The 20,290-nt window shown below is 43.8% G+C and overlaps 1 protein-coding gene across 29 annotated transcripts in view, besides 4 other annotated features; it reads left to right on the top strand.

The window, feature by feature from the left end:
* The window catches only part of RAPGEF1 (Rap guanine nucleotide exchange factor 1), a 163,302-nt gene that overhangs the window by 72,179 nt on the left and 70,833 nt on the right, over positions 1-20,290 (top strand). For 12 of the 29 annotated variants that reach the window (NM_001304275.2, NM_001377935.1, XM_005272186.5 and 9 more), the window contains exons 2-3: positions 16,949-17,088; positions 17,656-17,769. In NM_001304275.2, the coding sequence (NP_001291204.1) occupies positions 16,949-17,088; positions 17,656-17,769 (254 nt within the window). Of the gene's footprint in view, positions 1-16,494; positions 16,683-16,948; positions 17,089-17,631; positions 17,770-20,290 lie in introns of those variants that run through there. The other 17 variants (XM_011518572.3, XM_011518571.3, XM_011518579.4 and 14 more) reach the window with 3 other exon arrangements.
* Positions 7,467-7,999: an enhancer, noted in NCBI's record as "NANOG-H3K27ac-H3K4me1 hESC enhancer chr9:134535286-134535818 (GRCh37/hg19 assembly coordinates)". NCBI's record gives its function as "activates a minimal SCP1, AML or CMV promoter by ChIP-STARR-seq in primed H9 embryonic stem cells {active_cell/tissue: H9 hESC(primed)}" and the evidence as "EXISTENCE:reporter gene assay evidence [ECO:0000049][PMID:30033119]".
* Positions 8,000-8,533: an enhancer, noted in NCBI's record as "H3K27ac-H3K4me1 hESC enhancer chr9:134534752-134535285 (GRCh37/hg19 assembly coordinates)". NCBI's record gives its function as "activates a minimal SCP1, AML or CMV promoter by ChIP-STARR-seq in primed H9 embryonic stem cells {active_cell/tissue: H9 hESC(primed)}" and the evidence as "EXISTENCE:reporter gene assay evidence [ECO:0000049][PMID:30033119]".
* Positions 10,868-10,947: an enhancer, noted in NCBI's record as "active region_29198". NCBI's record gives its function as "activates an Ori minimal core promoter by ATAC-STARR-seq in GM12878 lymphoblastoid cells {active_cell/tissue: GM12878}" and the evidence as "EXISTENCE:reporter gene assay evidence [ECO:0000049][PMID:35858748]".
* Positions 12,115-12,615: an enhancer, noted in NCBI's record as "H3K4me1 hESC enhancer chr9:134530670-134531170 (GRCh37/hg19 assembly coordinates)". NCBI's record gives its function as "activates a minimal SCP1, AML or CMV promoter by ChIP-STARR-seq in primed H9 embryonic stem cells {active_cell/tissue: H9 hESC(primed)}" and the evidence as "EXISTENCE:reporter gene assay evidence [ECO:0000049][PMID:30033119]".

The following is a 20,290-nucleotide window of genomic DNA, read 5'->3' as shown; positions in this document are numbered from 1 at the left end:
CTCACTGTATGTGCAGTACTGTATGACATCCTCCCAACGGCCCAGTGAGGTAAAGATCACTACTCCCATTTTACAGCAGAGAAAAGCAAGCCCCAGGGAGGCCAGCTGACTCAGCATCACACAAGATGACGGCCTTTCCCTTCCATCTGAGACGTGGGTGGGACGGGAATACGTGGATAGGCTGCCCTAGGCCACGTGTAGAGATGAGTGCCACTTCTGTTTGCCCCATGTCATAGCCATAGGACATGGTGGCAGTTCCCCTTTGAATGACTGTGGTCCCTACCTTCAGAGAAAATCAGTCTGGAATGTTGGGAAGCTGTGATGGTAGAGATTTCTTCTCTTGAAACAATAGAAGACTGCCTCTTTTTCCATGCATTCCATCACCAGACCTTGCACAGTGACATTTCTTGAGGCCATCACCCAGCCACCTCTGTCCCTGTACCAGGTACTGTGGAGGAGGAAATGGGCAGTACCTCCGTGTAGGAAGAGGGTGTGGGAGGGCTCCATAGTCTGGGACTCCAGTGCTGCCCTGAGCCCTGCCTAAGGCGAGCAGGAAGCCGCCTGTGACTCGGTCTCCTCATCTGTTGAGTGGTAATAAGAATGCCTTGGCTGGGCGCAGTGGCTCACACCTGTAATCCCAGCACTTTGGGGAGGCCGAGGCAGGCAGATCACTGGAGGTCAGGAGTTTGATACCAGCCTGACCAACATGGTGAAACCCCATCTCTACTAAAAATACAAAACTTAGCCAGGCGTGGTGGCAGGCACCTGTAATCCCAGCTACTAGGGAGGCCAAGGCAGGAGAATCACTTGAACCCGTGAGATGGAGATGGCAGTGAGCCGAGTTCGTGCCACTGCACTCCGCCTGGGTGACAGAGTGAGACTCTGTCTCCAAAAAAAAGAATGCTTTGAAGGCGAGCAGGAAGTGCCACCTTCAAGACCTCAGCACTCCACCCTGAAGCAGGCAGATCCAACCAGGCCAAGGCTCTTTGCTTCATGTCCCAGCCGTCCCATCACAGGAGGTGAGGGCCCAGGCTGTGCGTCTAGTCCAGCAGCACTGGAAATGTGGCCAGTGCCATCTGAGATGTGCTGAAGTATAAAATCCACAGCAGATTAATATGAAAGAAAAAGAAGGTAAATAGCTCATTAATCGTTTTTATATTACATGTTGTAATAATACTTTAGATAAATTGGGTCAATTAAAAAATATTTTTAAGACTGGGCACAGGGACTCTTGCCTGTAATCTCAGCACTTAGGGAGGCTGAGGTGGGCAGATAACTTGAGGTCAGGAGTTCGAGACCAGCCTGGCCAACATGGTGAAACCGTCTCTACTAAAAATTCAAAAATTAGCCAGGCGTGGTAGCAGGCACCTGTAGTCCCCGCTACTCAGGAGGCTAAGGCAGAAGAATCACTTGAACCCAAGAAGTGGAGGTTGCAGTGAGCTGAGATCTTGCCACTGCACTCCAGTCTGGGGGACAGAGTAAGTGAGACTCTGTCTCAAAAAAAAAAAAATTTTGTTTTAATTACATATGTGGTTCACACTATGTTTCTATTGGATAGTACTGGTCCAGAGAGTCCGTTAGAACCTAGAGGAGGAGGGTGAACAGTATAATCTTTCTTGTCTATTCCCTGGAGGTAGCTTGAACAACAGATGTTCTAGTAACCCAGGCTGAAGCGTCCCACCAAAGAAAGTTCCTGAATGAGTTGTCTCTGACTCGTGTGCTAGAACTACTTAGAGAATTATATTAAAAATCCATATAAACCATCTTATCTACATCTCTGATATTACCATCTGGTGTAGACTGAATGTCATAGCTGTTGGTTGTTACAGGGTTAATTCATTGATTCTTTTATCTGCGTGTTTGCTAACAAGCACTTATTTATTTTATGATGTGTCAGTTATTGGGCTAAGTGCCAGATTCCAAAATGAATGAGATTTGATTCTCTCATTGGGGTCTCAAAGGACTAGTAAGTAGAACCCTTCTCTGTCCCCTGAATTCTGAAAGTTGGAAAAGAAGACAGTAAGGTAGATAGATGGGGACCCAAATATCACCTTGATTTCTAAAGCCTTGCTTGAAGGATGCAGCTTGTTCTAAGAGCCCAGTGAGCTTCCCAGTATTGAGTCCCAGGATTAGACCAACATTACCCAACCACTCATAGTGGCTTTGCACTTGTCAGGCCTCCCCATCTGGGGGACATCGGAGAACAGGCTTACCATGGAGGGCTTACTCTCAGAGGTGGGGAGGGGGTTGGTTGGGGCGGCACATGGTTGGGTGCAAATCACACAGGGCCTCTCTGAGGGAGAATAGATGCCATCAGAGGTTTTCAAACAGAAGGGTGACATAGCGAGACTTAGCTCTTATAAGGACTACTCTGATTGCAGAGTTGAGAATGGGGAGGGCAAGGAGCAGGGGACAGTTAGAAAGCCATCGCGGTCGTCCATTTGAGGAATAAAGATGGCACTGGGCAGGCTGACCGTGGTGCAGGTGGTGAGAAGTGGTGGATTCTGAATGTACCATTAAGGTAGAACTCACAGGATTTGCCGAAGGATTGCCAGATGGACTCAAGCAAAAGAGAAGAATCAAGGATTTTAACCTGAGCTGCTGGAAGGGTGAAATGTCCTGTTTACCAAGATGTGGTCAAAGCAGGTTTGGGAGGAAGCTTCAGAGATACAGTTTTAGACTTGTGTTTGAGCCACCTGTCAAATGTCCAAGGGAATCACCAAGAGCTTGTGTTGTGTAATGAGACCACCCAACAATGAAGTCATCTGGCCCTCTTCTCTATCTACACATGTCCCTGAGGGCCTCCACTGGTCTTCTAGCTTCCTATACTGTGTATATGCCGACAGCTCTCGAATATATACCCCTAGCCTTCACCTAGCTCCTTCACTTCTCTTGAACTGCCAAATTCAGGCTCCTGTGGATGTCTAATACAGTATTTGTAAGAAGAGGAAATAAGGATGGATATACTACTTATTTCTGTGTAAATGAGGGATAAAACAGAAGTTATGTAGTTTTTTAACTTTTGAACTGTATAAATATTTTACAAATTCAGAAAAAATCCTGAAATTGAATATCAATAAAAACAAACCTAACTGTATATTAAATGATAATATAACCCACACAGAAAAAAGAATTAGAATATCTTTTTGAACACAGTACTTGCTATATGCCCATCACAGGATATATTCTAAGGACTAAAAGAATTGCTAAGAAATCTTGAACTTTTACCTTTAGTAGTTGTTAATGATATTCGTGTAGCAATTCTGAAGAAATTTTGTGTTTATTGTAGGATAAGGCAAATGAATAGATTGATGATGTTAGAAACCAGGGTTCTCACTGTTGTGGAAGGGAGCTGCAAATATGGAATCAAGGAAGGAGGAAGAACCTGGTGGTGTTGGCTTGCAGTAAGAAATAACAGTATTAACTTATGATTTAAAAATATATAGATATATACACACTCATATTTAATTATATATATTTACATTAAATACATGTACATATTTCTCTCCTAGCTGTGTCCACTGAAAGGACATAGAACAGTGACATCCCAGTGGCAATGAGCACATCTAATGCCCCGATCTTGGTTTCTAAATACCACTCCCCACCAAAAGGAGCTAGGGTACATTAAAGAAATGGCAGATTCCAAGCTGATTTCCTGGAGAAATGGGGTAGGGAAGGTACGGGGTGATTCTGGAGCTTCTTTTGCATCAAAAACCAAAGAAGTATTCAAAGATTGATGGAGACTCCTCAGTAACACTGGAGATGGGCTAAAAAGGTTCCCTCTGGCCAAGTTTGGAAGTTTGAACATGAAAGGGCATGATTATAATGGATTATAACACACTGAATAATAAATGAACACCCAGGTCCATAGTGATACCAAAAAAAGTAAAGGGTGGGGGCCTATTACTTATAAAGGAATGCCAGCCAATAAATATCGAGGAATAATTAATAATCACCAATGTGTAACCACCAGTAAAATAAAGATTCACATAAGGATCATCAGTGGATGCCAAACTATTCAGTGAAAATTTGTTAGGGAACAAGATGCTTAAAATCTCAAATTGCAGTACAGATTACTTATTAGTTACAAAGGAGAAACTATATCATTGCAGTGGAGAAATTTGGCAGATACCACCTTAACCAAGTGATCGAACTTAGCATTATCAATAACTGATTAATAATACAGTAGAAAGCACATACCACCCAGGAACTGTGTTTACCAAGCATGTATTACCCGAATCTCATGACAGGGAACAGGCAGATCCAACTTACGGGGGACCTCCTCCAAGACAACTGGCAGGCACTTTTCAAAATATGTCAACGTCCAAAAGCCAGTCCCGTCCCTCCTGCCTCCAGACTAGATAAGGGAAATTGGAGAGACATGACAACCAGATGCAATGTATGCTCCTTAATTGGATCTTGGATTTAAAAAAAAAAAAAAAAAGCTATAGAGAATCTGATAAGAGAAATTTGCTTATGGAGCAAATATTATGTCAGTGTTAAATATCTTGGGTATGATAATGTTATTATGTTATTTATGCAGGAGAATGTCCTTGTTCCTAGGAGAGAGACAGCTGGTAGTATTTAGAGATGTGTTATAACGTGTGCAACTTTCAGTTGCTTTGATGAAAAATAAATTTGCATGTGTGTTTCTGTGATAGAGAAAGAAAAGGGATGGAAAGCGAGCATGGCAAAATGTTAACGGTTGACGAATCTAGGTGAAGGGTATGTGGACGTTCGCTTCATAGTATTCTTTCAGCACATCAATAGATTTGATTTTTTTTTTTCCAAAATATAACTTTGGAAAGCGGGCATGGCAGAATGTTAACGGTTGACGAATCTAGGTGACGGGTATGTGGACGTTCGCTTCATAATATTCTTTCAGCACATCAGTAGATTTGATTTTTTTTTTCCAGAATACAACGTTGGAACCAGGCGTGGAGGCTCACACCTGTGATCTCAGCACTTTGGGAGACTGAGGCAAGAGGATCACTTGAGCCCAGGAGCTCGAGACCAGCCTAGGCAACATAGTGAGACCCTATCTCTACAAAACGAACAAAACTTAGCCAGGGCTGGGCATGGTGGCTAGCACTTTGGGAGGCCGAGACAGGCAGATCACTTGAGGTCAGGAGTTTGAGACCAGGTTCGCCGAAATGGTGAAACCCTGTCTCTACTAAAAATACAAAAAAAAATTAGCCAGGCATGGTGATTCATGCTTGTAATCCCAGCTACTCAGGAGGCTGAGGCAGGAGAATCACTTGAACCAGGAAGGCAGTGAGCCGAGATCGTGCCACTGCACTCCAGCCTTGGTGACAGAGTGAGACTCCATCTCAAAAAAAAAAAAAACAAAATAAAACAAAAAATTAGCCAGGCATAGTGGCGCATGCCTGTAGTCCCAGCTCCTCAGGAGGATCATGTGAGCCCCAGAGGTCATAGCTACAGTGAACTGGGATCACACCACTATACTCCAGCCTGGGCAACAGAGCAAGACCCTGTCTCAAAAAATAAAATGTTGGGGGAAAATGAAGGATAAGAGGAAAGGAACTGTAGACAACATATAGGCAAGTCTTTCAAGTGGTTTTGCTATTTAGAGAAACAAACGTGGGAGTAGCTGGAGGAGAAGGTGGGCTTAAGGACTCGGGTCTTTAAGATGGGGGAGATCTACCATGTGTATGTGCAGACGTGAAGTGACACACAGCAGAAGGAAACCTGGTGGTGGGGAGAGGAGAGAATGGCTGGTGCAGTGTGTGAGCAGGCCGGGTGGGTGGGGCCCCACCGCTGATGTAAGGCACAGATGAGATGCCTAAAAAGTCATTGAATGAGTTTTGGTTTTAATTCTTAGGCGAGCCTCATGAGACAGATACTATTATTAAAAGTATATTGATTCAATCTTGGTTAAACATAAAAAATTATAAGATTCAATTGTATTTATATTAAGTTCCTAGAATTTTTCATACAGTAAGGGAGAAGAGATTGGAAAATGCTTATTTACTGGTGATTTAAGATCCTAAGAATGTATACATTTATGTAGGTGTTATCTTTTATTATTTTTAAAAAGATGAGACAAAAGTTTCCTGAGATATTCACAGGCTCTTCCTGAGATAGTCAATTCAGAGTTCTTAGGGAAGATACTCATTCTGGAATATTCATGGGTAAATACATTTGTTTGTTTTAGGGAATGGAATTTCCTTAAGTTGTAAATGAACTTTGCAGTTGTTAATCTGACCCATATAAAAATCATGTGGGCTCTTTTTCCGAAGAATCTTAGACCTTTGTATCTGGGTTATTTCACCTTTTTGTTGGAATATACTATACATCAGGAAGTATATACACATACCTTATGTAGATAGCTTGCAGGATTTTCGCAAGTTGAACACACTGGTACAACCAACCCCCAGATCAAGAAACAGGCCATAACCGTCACCTCAGAAGCCCACTGCTTCATGTCACCTGCCAGTTAACCACCCCCCACTCCCCGAGCATAACCACTATCTTGAATCCCCAAATAATAGATTAAATTTGTCTGTTTTTGCATTTATATAAATGGAATCGTATAAAATGTACTCTTTTGAATCTGGCTTCTCTCTACACTCGTGAGAACCATGCATGTCATGGGTGTCGATTGCATGATATTCCACTGTGCGACGGTGCCACGGTTCACCCGTCCTGCTGTCGACAGGCATTCGCCGAGCACTGCTGTGATATTCTGGTACATGTCTGATGGTGACCTCACACAGGCGTTCTTTGGAGTGGAGTTATTGGGCTGGAGAGGAAGGATGTGTTCAGCCATAGTGGGTGGCTGTCAGTCAGCAGGGTAGAGAGTCCCCCTTCTCTTCATCCACAACACCGATAGTGTTCCCTGTTTTTTCTTTTTATCTATTCAGGCATGTTTGTGGTGGTAGCTCAGTGGTTTTAATGTACTGCTTCCTGATGACAAATTGAGCACCTTGTTATATGTTTATTGGCCATTTGAATGTTGCCTTTTGTGATTCTGAATCTCTTTGTAATGCTTACCAGTTATGCAAGTAAAATGAAAAGGGTGGTTCTGTCAGATCTTAACCCAAATCCAAGGTGAAGCCTGGTTTCCTGCATAGGCGAGAAGGCCCCAGGGCCCAGAATCCCTCCTCACCCCTTCTGCCTCCATCCAGGGCCCCACTCTGGGGCAGGCAGTGCTGGCTGCATTCAGCTCAGTGGGGGGCAGTTTGACTATGTCGCATCCAGCTTCCCATGCCGTCCATCCCTAGGAGTCTGTCTCACCATACAAGGGCGCAGACAGGCCAGCTTGAGGGTGTTCATCAACGCAGCATTGTTTGAAGAGCAGAAGTTAGAATCTATTCATTCGGGGGCCTGACTGCATAAATACACTGTGGTTGCCGTCCAGCAGAGCATCATGCAGCCATTAACTGCACTCACATGGGAAAATGCCCACAATGGCTTGTTGTTTAAAAAAAAAAAAAGTGAAAAAATATTTCTGCTGTGTGTGGAATTATGAGAAATGTTTACCGTCTACGTTATATATTTTTACAGTGCTTGGATTTTTATAATGAGATTGTTTGAAAATTTTTTAAAAGATAGGCTTAATATTCCCATTAGCAGTGTCATAGTTATCCAGTAGACTTCCTGAACAATTGGGTAGTAGGAATGGATTTTCATAACAAAAGAGTCTTTGGAATTGCAAAACTTCAAATATTGTTTTCCCTCTGTTTTAACAGGAATAGTTGTATATTAAGTAAGACAGAGGATCTTTCCATGTTAAAGTTGTTAGAAAAATATAACTCCAGGCCGGGTGCAGTGCCTCATGCCTGTAATCCCAGCACTTTGCGAGGCCGAGGCGGGCGGATCACGGAGTCAGGAGATCGAGACCATCCTGGCTAACACGGTGAAACCCCGTCTCTACTGAAAATACAAAAAATTAGCCGGGCGTGGTGGCGGGCGCCTGTAGTTCCAGCTACTCAGGAGGCTGAGGCAGGAGAATGGCGTGAACCCAGGAGGTGGAGCTTGCAGTGAGCCGAGATCACGCCACTGCACTCCAGCCTGGGCGACAGAGCGAGACTCCATATCAAAAAAAAAGAAAAATATAACTCCAGGTTGCTTTTGGCTCGACTAGACTGGGGTTATTTTTAGCTTTTGCCTTTTTAAGTGTTGGCAGAGACCTGACGAGGTTATCACATGACAATAATAGCTGCCATGTATTAAGTATTTGCTATATATCAGGTCCTTGGCTACATGCTTTACACACGGGTCACATTTAATCTCCACAATTACCTGAGGAGGAGCTAGGTCTGTGGCTATGGCTTTCCTCTAGGTGAGGAACCGGAGGCTCGGGTAAAAAGTTTGCCCAGGTTAGTGGCCGAGCTGAAGTTAAAACAAAGACACACAGGCCTGGCGTGATGGCTCACACCTGTAGTCCCAGCACTTTGGGAGGCTGAGATGGGAGGATCCCTTGAGCCCAGGAGTTCGAGACCAACCTAGGCAACATGGCGAAACCCTGTCTCTACCAAAAATACAAAAATTAGCCAGTCTCGTAACCTGGTCTCAAGATAAAATAAATAAATAGATTTAAAAAAAAAGCCACAGACTTCAGCTCTGCTGCCTCCTGTGCCCATAGCCCTCTGTCTCCATCTTTACCTTGCGGTCCACAAAATCCTAGACAAGTGAAAAGACTTTTAAAAAATTGGAAATCCTCATCTTTAAAAAAGCTTTTCCTAATGTCCTCAATCACGCCTCCACTCCATTTGTCCTTTTTATGCATTTGGAAAATGGGGAATGTTTATTAAGTAAGTGATCTCTAAATCCTTCCCAGTGCTCGACTTCTGAGCCCAGTAGAAGACAGGGAATGAGGAATTAGCCACAGCGTTTCTCAAGATTGGCTGCCTCAAAGTTGTCCACCTTGCCCTTGACTTTGTGATCCCGTGTGGTTGATGTTTAGAGACTCCCCACCATCCCTGGTGAGAGATTAAGTTGAGACAGAAACCACTGCTAAGTTGGGAACCCAGCTGCTGCTACAAATGACACAGAAAGAAGGCCAGTTGATAGCCACATTTGTCAGCAACAGGCAGAGACCATTGTTAAGCCTGGCCGAGGGGCAAGTTAAAAATTTAAGAATGAAATATTGGCATCTGGCAGACCACTTGAAGAAATTGGGTTGGCTTTGATGTCTTTTTGCTCTGCTTGGTTTTCTGTTGAGACATGATTCTGTGAGCAGGCTACATCCTCTCCTCCGGCCCATCCTCTTTCTCTCTCGGTAGAGAAGGACATTCATCCGACAGCCAGATCTGTAGCCTGCGATGGTTGCCCAAGAAAGTGGCTGCTGTTGGTAACATCACAGTCAATTTATACAGAAATTGTTTGTAAGCTCATATAAGCCACCCTTCCTCTGGAAGGAATGACTAGCAGATTAGTCACTGGGAGTCTCTGACCTTGGGGTAAATGTAACATGGAGCAAGAGTCTGAGGCTTTCTGTTCTCAAGTTCAGGTGAACTTGAAGTTGCTCTCACAGATTAGATAGATCACAATAAAATACACCAGCATATGGCATTTCCAGGTGAAGGAGGACTTTTGTGTCCTTTCTTAGACATGGCCATGTGGGAAAGTTTGCATGTCTGGCAACCCCAGGTGCCGGGAGGAATATGGAGCAACTAGGACTCTCCCAACCTTGCTAGTGGGACTGTAAAGTGGCATAGCCACTTGGGAGAATTGTTTTGCAATATCTGTAAGAATCAATGTGGCATATACCCTACAATCCAGCCGTTCTGCTCTTAGAGGACTGTTGGCATGTGTTCCAGGAGACATGTATGAGCAGCATTGTTTATTAAAGCAAAAATGCTGGAAGCGACCCAGTGTCCACTGACAGGAGAGCAGATAAATAAAGCTGGGATTATGGAATCTACGGAATTTCTCAGCATTGAAAACGAAATCACTGATACACCCCAGCATGCCTGAGTGTCAGGCCTGCTATTGAGTAAAAAACAAGAGCGTGAGAATCTTTACAATATGCCATCACTTAGGTAACGTTCACAAACTTATAAGTTAAACTGTATATGTCGATATAAACTATCCTGAAAAGTAAGGGATGATAAGTCTGAAAGTCAGAGTCGGGCTGCCTGTAGGGAAGAGATGTGGCTGTAGAGGAGCACATGGCAGCACCAGTGGAATCCATCCGCTTCTCGAGCTGCACCATCCAGTGTGCCAGTCACCAGCCCCAGGGGCTGTTTACACAGTTAACTCACAGTTCAGTGCCTCAGCCACAGCAGCCACAATCAGGCCTCAGTAGCCACTAGTGCCTGTCGTGTTAGACAGTTCAGGTACCGGCCGCCTCCATCGCTGCAGAAGGTTCTGTTTGCTAGGCCAGATGGTGGGTGCCTGGATTTGATTCATTCTCTATAACTTGTACATATATATATTTGTATGAAATCTTTAAATTTTTTGTTTTAACTTCAATTCTAGAAAATTACTAAAGAGACGCATATACAAATTCTACAGTGTAACTTCCTAAGTGTGAAAAGCAGGGGAATAGCAAGAGAGCAGTTGGTGGCACTGCCTGCGACGCAGCAGTCATGTGGGAACACTCCCTTCACGTCGCCCTCCATCCCAGATGATTGACGTGCATGAGAAAGGGGCAGGGAGAGTGCATCTGTCTGTCTGTCTGTCTGTCTGCCTGCCTGTCTGGAGCCGTTGGCGAGATTGCCCTAACAGCAGTGTTCATGTGAGGGCACCTGTCGTTTCCTCCCCACCCTGCTATCGCAAAGCATTATAGTACCTCCTCAGCACTCAAAGGCATAGTGTGAATGACCTTGAGAATCACCTGAAGCCTGTGCTGCTAACCCAAGGTTTCAAGAAGGATGTGACAAACATACTGTCCTAGTTAGTGCTGTCCTCGATTTCCAGCGTTGAGAAGGTTGGTTGTCATTTGAAAGAATCTCTTCTCTCTGCCTGATTTATGGCTTCTTGTGCTAGAGCTGGCTGTGCTGAGGTGGATACCCTGAGGAGGGAGATTTATTGGTAGGCATTGCACTGTCTTTAGGTGCTGACATGTTTTCCCAGCCTTGCCCAAGGCAGACAAGAATTGTGAGTGCAATAATAAACCTCTTGAGTTCCATCAACAGCTCATAGGCAGAAGTGCCCTTAGTTGGTCCCTGCCCTTGCATGAACCTGAGAGGGTTTTTTGGTGATCGACCTCTACACCTCACTTGTCTACCCCAGTTCCGCCGTGGTCATGACGGCGCAGTTGTGAATCTTGCCAGCTCCTCAGCCCCATGCCTGCCTGAACAGCAACTCAGGGCAGTAGACAGTGGAGAAAGCGGAAGTTGGCTCACCCAGCCTGAAGATCTTTGAGCACCAGAGAACCCACGCATCCTGCCCAGACTTCCCCATTTGTGTCTGCTTTCCCTGCTTCAGTCCTACTCAACAGGATACAAGTCACATGGATTAGGAAACTGCTCTGACAGCCCATCTGACTTGGGAACCTGCCTGGTGAGGGAAGAGGCTGTGTCTTTTAGGGACACTGTGGGGCTGCCATCAGAAGACATGGAGTAGGGACAGCAATAGGATCCGTATGCAGGGAGGCAGGTTAAACCAAAGAGGGAAATAGACTAATAGGCTAAAAGCCAGATTGAGACTTCTGGTTCAGTGCCAAAGGAAGAGAAGAGTGGGCATTTATAAGGTCTCATTTACTTAGAATAGTGAGTTAAATGTTCAGTGTTGCAGAATAACTGGATGAAGATCTGGAAGCAGCTGGGAAATAAGAATTCGGTATCTATCGACCTTGCTATGCATCCAAGCTCCTTGTGTTGAGCGGGTGCCGTGTGCCAGGCATTTTGTGAAATACCTTATTGTATTATCCACAGTAAATATCTCATTTAATCTACATCACATCAGCCATCTCAAGAAATATAATGTTATCTCACTCATTTTCCAGACAAAATAAGGGAAAGATTTAGAGAGATGATATCTAAGTATTTGAATGCAAACATTCTGACTCCAGTGCACACCCCCCTTTTAGAAAATTTTTTGGCCGGGCGCGGTGGCTCACACCTGTAATCTCAGCACTTTGGGAGGCCAAGGCAGGTGGATCACGAGGTCAGGAGATCGAGACCATCCTGGCTAACACGGTGACACCCCGTCTCTACTAAAAATACAAAAAAATTAGCCAGGCGTGGTGGCAGTCGCCCAGGCTGGAGTGCAGTGGTGCAATCTTGCACTGCATGCTCTGCCTCCTGGATTCACGCCATTCTCCTGCCTCAGCCTCCCGAGTAGCTGGGACTATAGGCATGTACCACCAGGCCTGGCTAACAGTGCACACCCTCTTAAGCATCACATGAAGGATTAGACTGTTCACATCCATGTTGAAGTATAAAGAAGGAAGTATAAACTGTAAATGGGATCCACCCTGCTTGGGTGAAGAGAGAGAAGAGGCAGGACAGAGGGGAGCGGGAGAAGTCACACCATCCCAGTTCATTTGAATGCGAGGGATGACTGCTGACATATGAGGGCTGGTGTTGAGAGCCTCCTGACCCTGTTGAGCTGTTCCAGGTGAGCTAGCCAGGTGCAGCAGCTTCCTGTTGACTTGTGTCCCCATCTGGGGACTAAGAAGGGCTTTCTGCAGCTCTGGCCATCACACAGCTGTGAAGCTGTTTGGTTTGACCACATGTGAATGCGGGTCAGGCCCTGGCTTTTCTCTTTGGTCCAGAGCGCAGTGGGTGCCTAGGTAATTTGCAAAGGGCAGGTAGTTTATCTGATCCTGCCTGGCCACCTGGAAGGTCTTTAGCAAGGGAACTGAACTTTGGCCTTGTTAAGTCACGTGCAGCAATAGTAGACAGAGTGAGAGCCATGTAGTGCAAGGTGCCGTGCTATTTATTTGGAGGGTTGTTTTGTTTGGTTTTCTGGTTTGTTTTGTTGTACTAAATTGCTGGAAAAACTTGACAGAGGGAGTGCTTTTTATTTTTAAAACTACAGGTATTTATTTTTCCATTGCGTAGGACAGTGTTTTGTTGCTTAATTTTCAGCCAATTTCAAGTATTTCTGCTGTTACTAAAAGAAGCAGTCTTCTTCCTGGGATATTTTTGTTGTTGGTTGGTTTCTTCATTTGTTGAATATATGTTTACTGATTATCTTCTATGGGCCAACTGCCATGTCAGCACTGGGAAAACAGGCATGAACAAGACAGGTACAGTCCTCAGGGAACTTGTCCCCCAAGCCTTTATTTTTTTGAGACAGGGTCTCGCTCTGTTGCCCAGGCTGGAGCGCAGTGCTCACTGTAGCCTCTAACTCCTGGGCTCAAGCAGTCCTCCCACCTCAGCCTCCTGAGTAGCTGGGACTACAGGTCTGCACCACCATGCCCAGCTAATATTTTGTAGGTAGAGACAAAGTCTCACTCTGTTGCCTAGGCTCCAACTCCTGGGCTCAAGTGATCCTCCCGCCCCAGCCTCCCAAAGTGCTGGAATTACAGGCATGAACCACTGCGCCCAGCCATACTTGCATTCTTGTGAGGAGACAGGTTTAAATAAATCGATTAATAAGATGTTTTCAGACACTGGAACTGGTTGTAATAATGCTGAGATGAAGGAAGACTGCCAGTGGGCTTTTTTAAAAAAATAGCTTTATTGATATATAATTCACATATCATACAATTCATTCAAAAAGGGTACAGTTCTTTTTTTTTTCTAGTAATTCACTGGGCTATACAACCATCACCATATTCTAATTTTAGAATACTTTTGTACACCAGGAGAAAAAACTCCATACTGATTATAGCAGCCCCTCTCCATCTCTGCCCCGTCCAGTCTTAGGCAACCACCAATCTACTTTCTGTCTCTATGGATTTGCCTATTCTGGACATTTCAAATGAATGGAATCATACAATATATGGTCTTCTGTGGCTGGCTGCTTTAGCTTAAATAATGTTTTCAAGGTTCAACTGTGTTGTAGCTGATCCGTACTTAATTTATTTTTATTGCCAAATAATATTCCATTGTATGGATATAATACATTTTATTTAGTCATTCACAAACATGGACATTTGAGTTTTTCCCACCTTTGGCTATTATGAATAATGTTGCTGTGAACTTTCCTTTGACTTACCTGTACAAGTCTCATGGATTTAGGCTTTCATTTCTCTTGCAAATCTGCCCAGGAGTGGAATTTCTGGGTCACATGTCAACTCTGTGATCTTGTGAGAAACTGCCCGACATTTTCCAAAGCAGAGAAACCATGTTACATTCCTACCAGCAATGTGTAGGGCGTTCAGTTTCTCCAGTCCTCACCAACACTTGGTACTGCCTTTTTTATTAGACCTAGTGTGCGTGAAGCGTTACATTTCCTTAATGGCTAATTATGTTGACCGTCTTTCCATGTGCTTATTGCCAATTTGTGTATCTTCTTTGGAGAATGTCTGCTCAGACTCTTTGCCCATTTTACATTGGGTTACATGCCTTTTATTCTAGAGCTGTAAGAATTTTGTAATGTTTTCTGTATACAAGTCCCTTATCAGGTATAGCTGACCCTCCATATCCGTGGGTTCTGCAGCCTCTGCTGATTCAGTCATGGTCAGAAATATACAGGGAAAAACAATAAAAATAACAGTGTAATAATGCAGATTTTAAAATAAAGTATAACTATTTACATAACATTTACATTGTATTTGGTATCGTAAGTAACCTATAGATGATTTGAAGCATGTGGAGGATGTGTGTCATACACAAATATTCCACTGTTTTATATAAGGGACTTGAGCATCGTGGATTTTGATCCCCGCAGAGGATCCTGGAACCAAGCCCCTGAGGATGCTAAGGGATGGCTGCATATGATTTTTAAATAGAGTCATGCTCTGCATAACGACATTTCAGTTAGTGACAGACCACATTATAACATATGTAGGGCAGACCACATTATAATCTTATGGTCCCATAAGATAATCATAAAGCTGAAAAATTCCTGTCGCCTCGCCTGATGTAGCCATCATTACATCCAGCGCAATGCATTACTCACCTGTTTGTGGTGATGCTGGTGTAAATATATAGCACATATGGTTATGTACAGTACGTAGTACTTGATAATAAATGACTATGTTACTGGTTTATGGATTTACTCTACTTTTTATCATTATTTGAGAGTATGCTTCTGCTTACTAAAAACAAAAAAGTTAACTGTAAAACAGCCTCAGGCAGATCCTTCAGGAGGTGTTATAAAAGAAGGCATTGTTATCATAGGAGATGACAGCTTCTTGCATTTTATTACTCTGAAGACCTTCCAGTGGGACAAGATGGGGAGGTGGAAGATGGTGATACTGATGATCCTGCCCCCGTAGACCTAGGCTGATTAATGTGTGTCTGTCTTTGTCTTTAATGAAAAGTTTTAAAAGTGAAAAAAAAATAATAATTTTTTAAATAGAAAAAAGCTTAAAGAATAAGGATATAAAGAAAGAAAATATTTTTGCCCACCTGGGCAACATAGTGAGACCTCATCGCTACAAAAAGTTTAAAACTGAGCCAGACATTGTAGCACTTGCCTATAGTCCTAGCCACTCGAGAGGCTGAGGCAGGAAGATGTCTGAGCCCAGGAATTCCAGGCTGTGGTGAGCTGTGATCACACCACTGCACTCTAGTCTTAGCAAAAGAGTGAGACCCTGTCTCAAAAAAACAAAAGAATAAAAATGTTTTTTTTAAATTAAAAGTTTATAAAGTAAAAAAGTTACAGTAAGCTAAGGTTAACTTACTGAAGAAAGAATATTTTAAAAATAAATTTAGTGAAGGTTAAATGTGCCATGGTTATAAAGTTTACCCTGGTGTACAGGAGTGTCCTAGACCTTCACATTTACTCCCTGATTTACTCAGAGCAACTTCTAGGCCTGCAGCCTCCATTCGTGATAGTGCCTTTCACAGGTGGAATTTTTAATCTTTTATACCATTTACCGTACTTTTCTACATTTAGATATGGTTGGATACACAAATACCATTGTATTACAGTTGCCTGCAGTACTCAGTACAGTACCGTACTGTACAGGTGTGTAGCCTCAGAGCAATGAGCTATTCCATATAGCCTAGGTGTGTAGTAGGCTATCCCATCTAGGTTCATTTGAGTATACTCTATGACATTTGCACAACGAAGTTGCCTAATGATGCATTACTCAGAACTTATTCCTGTCCTTGAGCAACACATGACTGTATTTTCTTTCATCCTGTGGGTTTGTTCACTTTCTTAGTAGTAGTATTTGTAGTGCAAAAGTTGTTAGTTTTGATGAAGTCCAATTTTCTATTTTTTTATTTTGTTACTTGTGCTTTTGGTTTTGTATCTAAGAAAACATGGTCAAATTCAAGGTCACAAAAACTGTTTTTTTCTGAGAGGTTTACAGTTGTAACTCTTACATTTAGGTCTGATCCAGTTCAATGTCAGATAGGAGTGGTGAGAACAGATGTCCTAGTCTTAATTCCTGATCTTTGGGGCAAGTCTTTCAGTCTTTCACCAGGGCCCAGAGGATTTTGAACACCTTACTTCTGATTCAGTCACCGCTGCCAACTCCAGAGCCTTGCACATGTCACTTGTTGCAGTTTCTTAAAGAATGAAGAGGTTGATGCGAAAGGGCCTTCCTTTCCAGTTCTCACATCCTACACATCTGTGATTTGACTGGGTGTTCTTTCTTCTCAGCCAGTTCCCTTGGATGTTAGTTAGATCATCACACAAACTCTGTAAGGACACTTGGGAATATTTGCAAGTTCTTTTTCCATATTTATTTGGACTGCCTTTGATTTCCACAATTCCTTGATGAAAATTGCAAAAATTGAAGCATGTAAGCAGAAATGTTTTGTAATGGATCCATACGTCCTTTCCCTTGAAACTCTCAACAGCCAAGAAAAAAGATGGGTTTGGGGACATTGCTCATTTCCACAAAAGGTCAATGAACCATCGCTTCTTCCCACTCCCATCTAACAGTCAGTACCCTCTTTGTTTTCAGACTCTCAGCGTTCTCATCTCTCTTCCTTCACCATGAAGCTGATGGACAAATTCCACTCACCCAAAATCAAGAGAACGCCATCAAAGAAGGGAAAACCAGCTGAGGTGTCCGTAAAGATTCCAGAGAAGCCTGTGAACAAAGTAAGCTGACTCTGGATGTTTCTCCTGGCCTCACCTGCTTCCAGCAATATGAGTTTGTGCGATTTGTATGTTCCCTCCCTGGGGATTGAGCTTTCAGTGCATCATACCTACTTCGTAGCATTCCATGGGCGGGACCTTTGGTGTCCTTGTAAAATAAGAACCATTAGGATGGTGAGTGTTTGCCACGTTAGCCAAGCTCAGTTGGCTAAGACAGTTCTCCTTTTCCAGCTGTGTCATCCTCTGGGCATTTAAAACAGCTCAGCACATCATGTCCACACCCCAGGCTGCTGCCTCCCTGCCCTGCAGTTCCCTACGTTGCCTTGGCGCACACTCAAACACAGGGAACTCTGTGATGTCCAGAACATCCATCATTTGGCTTTAGGGCCTGTGCTCTGAAACATGCAAACCCCTTGAGACACAGCCAAAGATGTCCTCAAGAGTTAGTGGCCTCAGCAGGGCCAGTCAAGCCAGATATGTTGAAACAGCTATTGACTTTCATCAACCCCTCCCTTCGGCCTCAAACAGCCATTTCAAACTCTGTAGGAATCCAGGTTTCCTCTCTTCCAGGAGGCAACAGACAGATTTCTACCAGAGGGCTACCCTCTCCCCTTGGATCTGGAGCAGCAGGCAGTAGAATTTATGTCCACCAGTGCTGTGGCTTCCAGGTCTCAAAGGCAGAAGGTCAGTGTAACATTAAGAACAATTGGGTTTGCCTTGCCTTCTACTGCAGAATCCTGGTCCATGGTTTTGGGGATGGAAAAAACTCTATTGCACTATTATTATGTTCAACTGGGTGGTGACCGTGGGCTGAATTGTTCAGGAAAGAGTCCAGGGGACCTTGGATAAAAGTGAGAGTTTATGCAAGGTCCCATGATCTTTGGAGAGAGCTTTGTGGCAAAAGCTTAGGGATTCTTTCTGGGGTTGGTTTGGGTGTGCTGCTTGGGTCCAACGGGTTCCAGGGGATGTGGGCGAGTCTCATCTCTCAAGACCAGCTGTTCCTTGAATTGCTAAGATGATCTGAATAGTTTAGAAGGGAAAAGGCTTCTGAAGCCTCCGAGTGCTTTCTTACCCATCTCACAAGGCTGGTGGAGTGCAGTGAGACCGCCGCATAACCAAGTGCTCTCAGAGCCCCAGACACCTGTGTCCCTAACATTTATGGAGCCTTTTCTTGGTCCAGTGCTGAGTGCTTTACATGTGTCCTCTTACTTGTCTTCATAGCAACCCTGATGTGTGAAAAGTTATTTTGCCAAAAAGGAAACTGGATCTATAGAAATATTAAGCATTTAGCCAAAGTCGCACAGCAAAAAGGTGGCAAAGTCAAGATTTGAATGCAGGCTGTCTGACGTCAGAGTCTGAATTGTCGAGATGCTACGTTTCCTCTTTATGAAAGACAGAATTTTTAATATCTCGTGAATTTAAATATTAATCCTGACTCATTACATAAAAATAAAACTAGGCTGGGCACAGTGGTTCACGCCTATAATCCCAGCACTTTGGGAGGCTGAGGCAGGCGGATCACCTGAGGTCACGAGTTCAAGACCAGCCTGGCCAACATGACAAAACTCCGTCTCTACTAAAAATACAAAAAAAAAAAAAAAAAAAAAAAAAATTTAGCCAGGCATAGTGGCAGGCGCCTGTAATCCCAGCTGCTTGGGAGGCTGAGGCAGGAGAATCACTTGAACCCGGGCGGCAGAGGTTGCAGTGAGCCGAGATCACACCACTGCACTCCAGCCTAGGTAACAGAGTGAGACTCTGTCTCCAAAAAATAAATAAATAAAACTAAACTTAGCAATGTAAAATAAAATAAACCTTGTAGACAGATATTCTTAATCCTTTAGTGATTATCCAAAGTATAATTTCTATGTAGCAGAACTACTGTCACAGCCATCCATTTAATGCCGCTGGTAAACACTAGCCTGTTATTTAAATACATAATTCTTGAATTTTGCAGTTCATCTATTTTTGGGTTTTATGTTGACCAGCAGAATATCTTAAAATTTTAGTTAAAAGTGGAGGAAAATAAAGGTTTTAAATCTAAAAGTCTTTTGTTGAAAAGTGGTTTTTCCTGCCCCCTCTTTTAACGAAAGGTGACTGACAAGCAAGAGGGAAACAGTCAGTGTTTGCCAGATTGATCTAAATTCCAGATTGAAGAAGAGTAATACAGTAGATTTGGTCTGTGCCACAGTTATTTTTTATTGCAATCTGTTTAGTAACCTCTTGTAGCCGAATGTAGTATTAACTACAAGTAGAGTGTAATTGTCATCCAACACTAGTCCAGGCAGTCAGAGTAAAATGATTCACTTACTAACAACGTTATCCTGCTAGTGAATTCTGATATGAAACTGTTCGGCCACTCAATTCCTGGGATTTCCCCCCTTTTTGTTGTTTTTGTTGTTTTTTTGTTTGTTTGTTTGTTTTGAGATAAGAGTCTCACTCTGTCGCCCAGGCTGGAGTGCAGTGGAGCAATCTCAGCTCACTGCAATCTCCGCCTCCCAGGCTCAAGCAATTCTCCCGCCTCAGCCACCCGAGTAGCTGGGACTACAGGCGTCCTCTACCACGCCTGGCTAATTTTTGTATTTTTTAGTAGAGATGGGGTTTTGCCATGTTGGCCAGGCTGGTCTCAAACTCCTGACCTCAAGTGATCTGCCCGCCTCATCCTCTCAAAGTGCTGGGATTACAGGCATGAGCCACCGCACCCAGCCGGGATTTTCCCCTTTATTCATTTTTCCAAGAGAGGTCACAGAGAAAAATTCAGTGCTAAAGTACCGCTCATTTAGTGGGGTGCCTGTAAACCCCAGGGGCCATTTGGCAATGTCTGGAGACATTTTTGGTTGTTGCCATAGGAAGGCAAAGCAGATGTTATTGGCTTCTAGTGGGTAGGGGTTGGGAAGCTGCTAAACATCCTACAATACACAGGACAGCCCCCCACACAACAAAGAATTCTCTGCCCCAAAATGTCAGTAGTGCCAAGGCTGAGAAACCTGTTCTGTAGCAGGGAGCTGTAGGTGTGATCTTCACCCAAGAAGGAATGTTACCCCTTTTTCATCATTGCTCATTAGGAAGGGTTGGATGTCTGTGTTCTGTCCCAAGCCACCTGCGTGGGACAAGTAAATGCGAACCTCTTGCTTCGTGGAGGCCCATGGACAGAACCAGAAGCATTGAGAAACTTCCCAGAGTACGTGGACTTAGAGGATTATGTCCA

The sequence above is a fragment of the Homo sapiens genome, chromosome 9 (assembly GCF_000001405.40).
Source record: "Homo sapiens chromosome 9, GRCh38.p14 Primary Assembly".
In the NCBI taxonomy this organism is placed as follows: Eukaryota; Metazoa; Chordata; class Mammalia; order Primates; family Hominidae; genus Homo; species Homo sapiens.
Note: the sequence above shows the minus strand (reverse complement) of the source record. Positions and strands in the feature narration are given on the sequence as shown.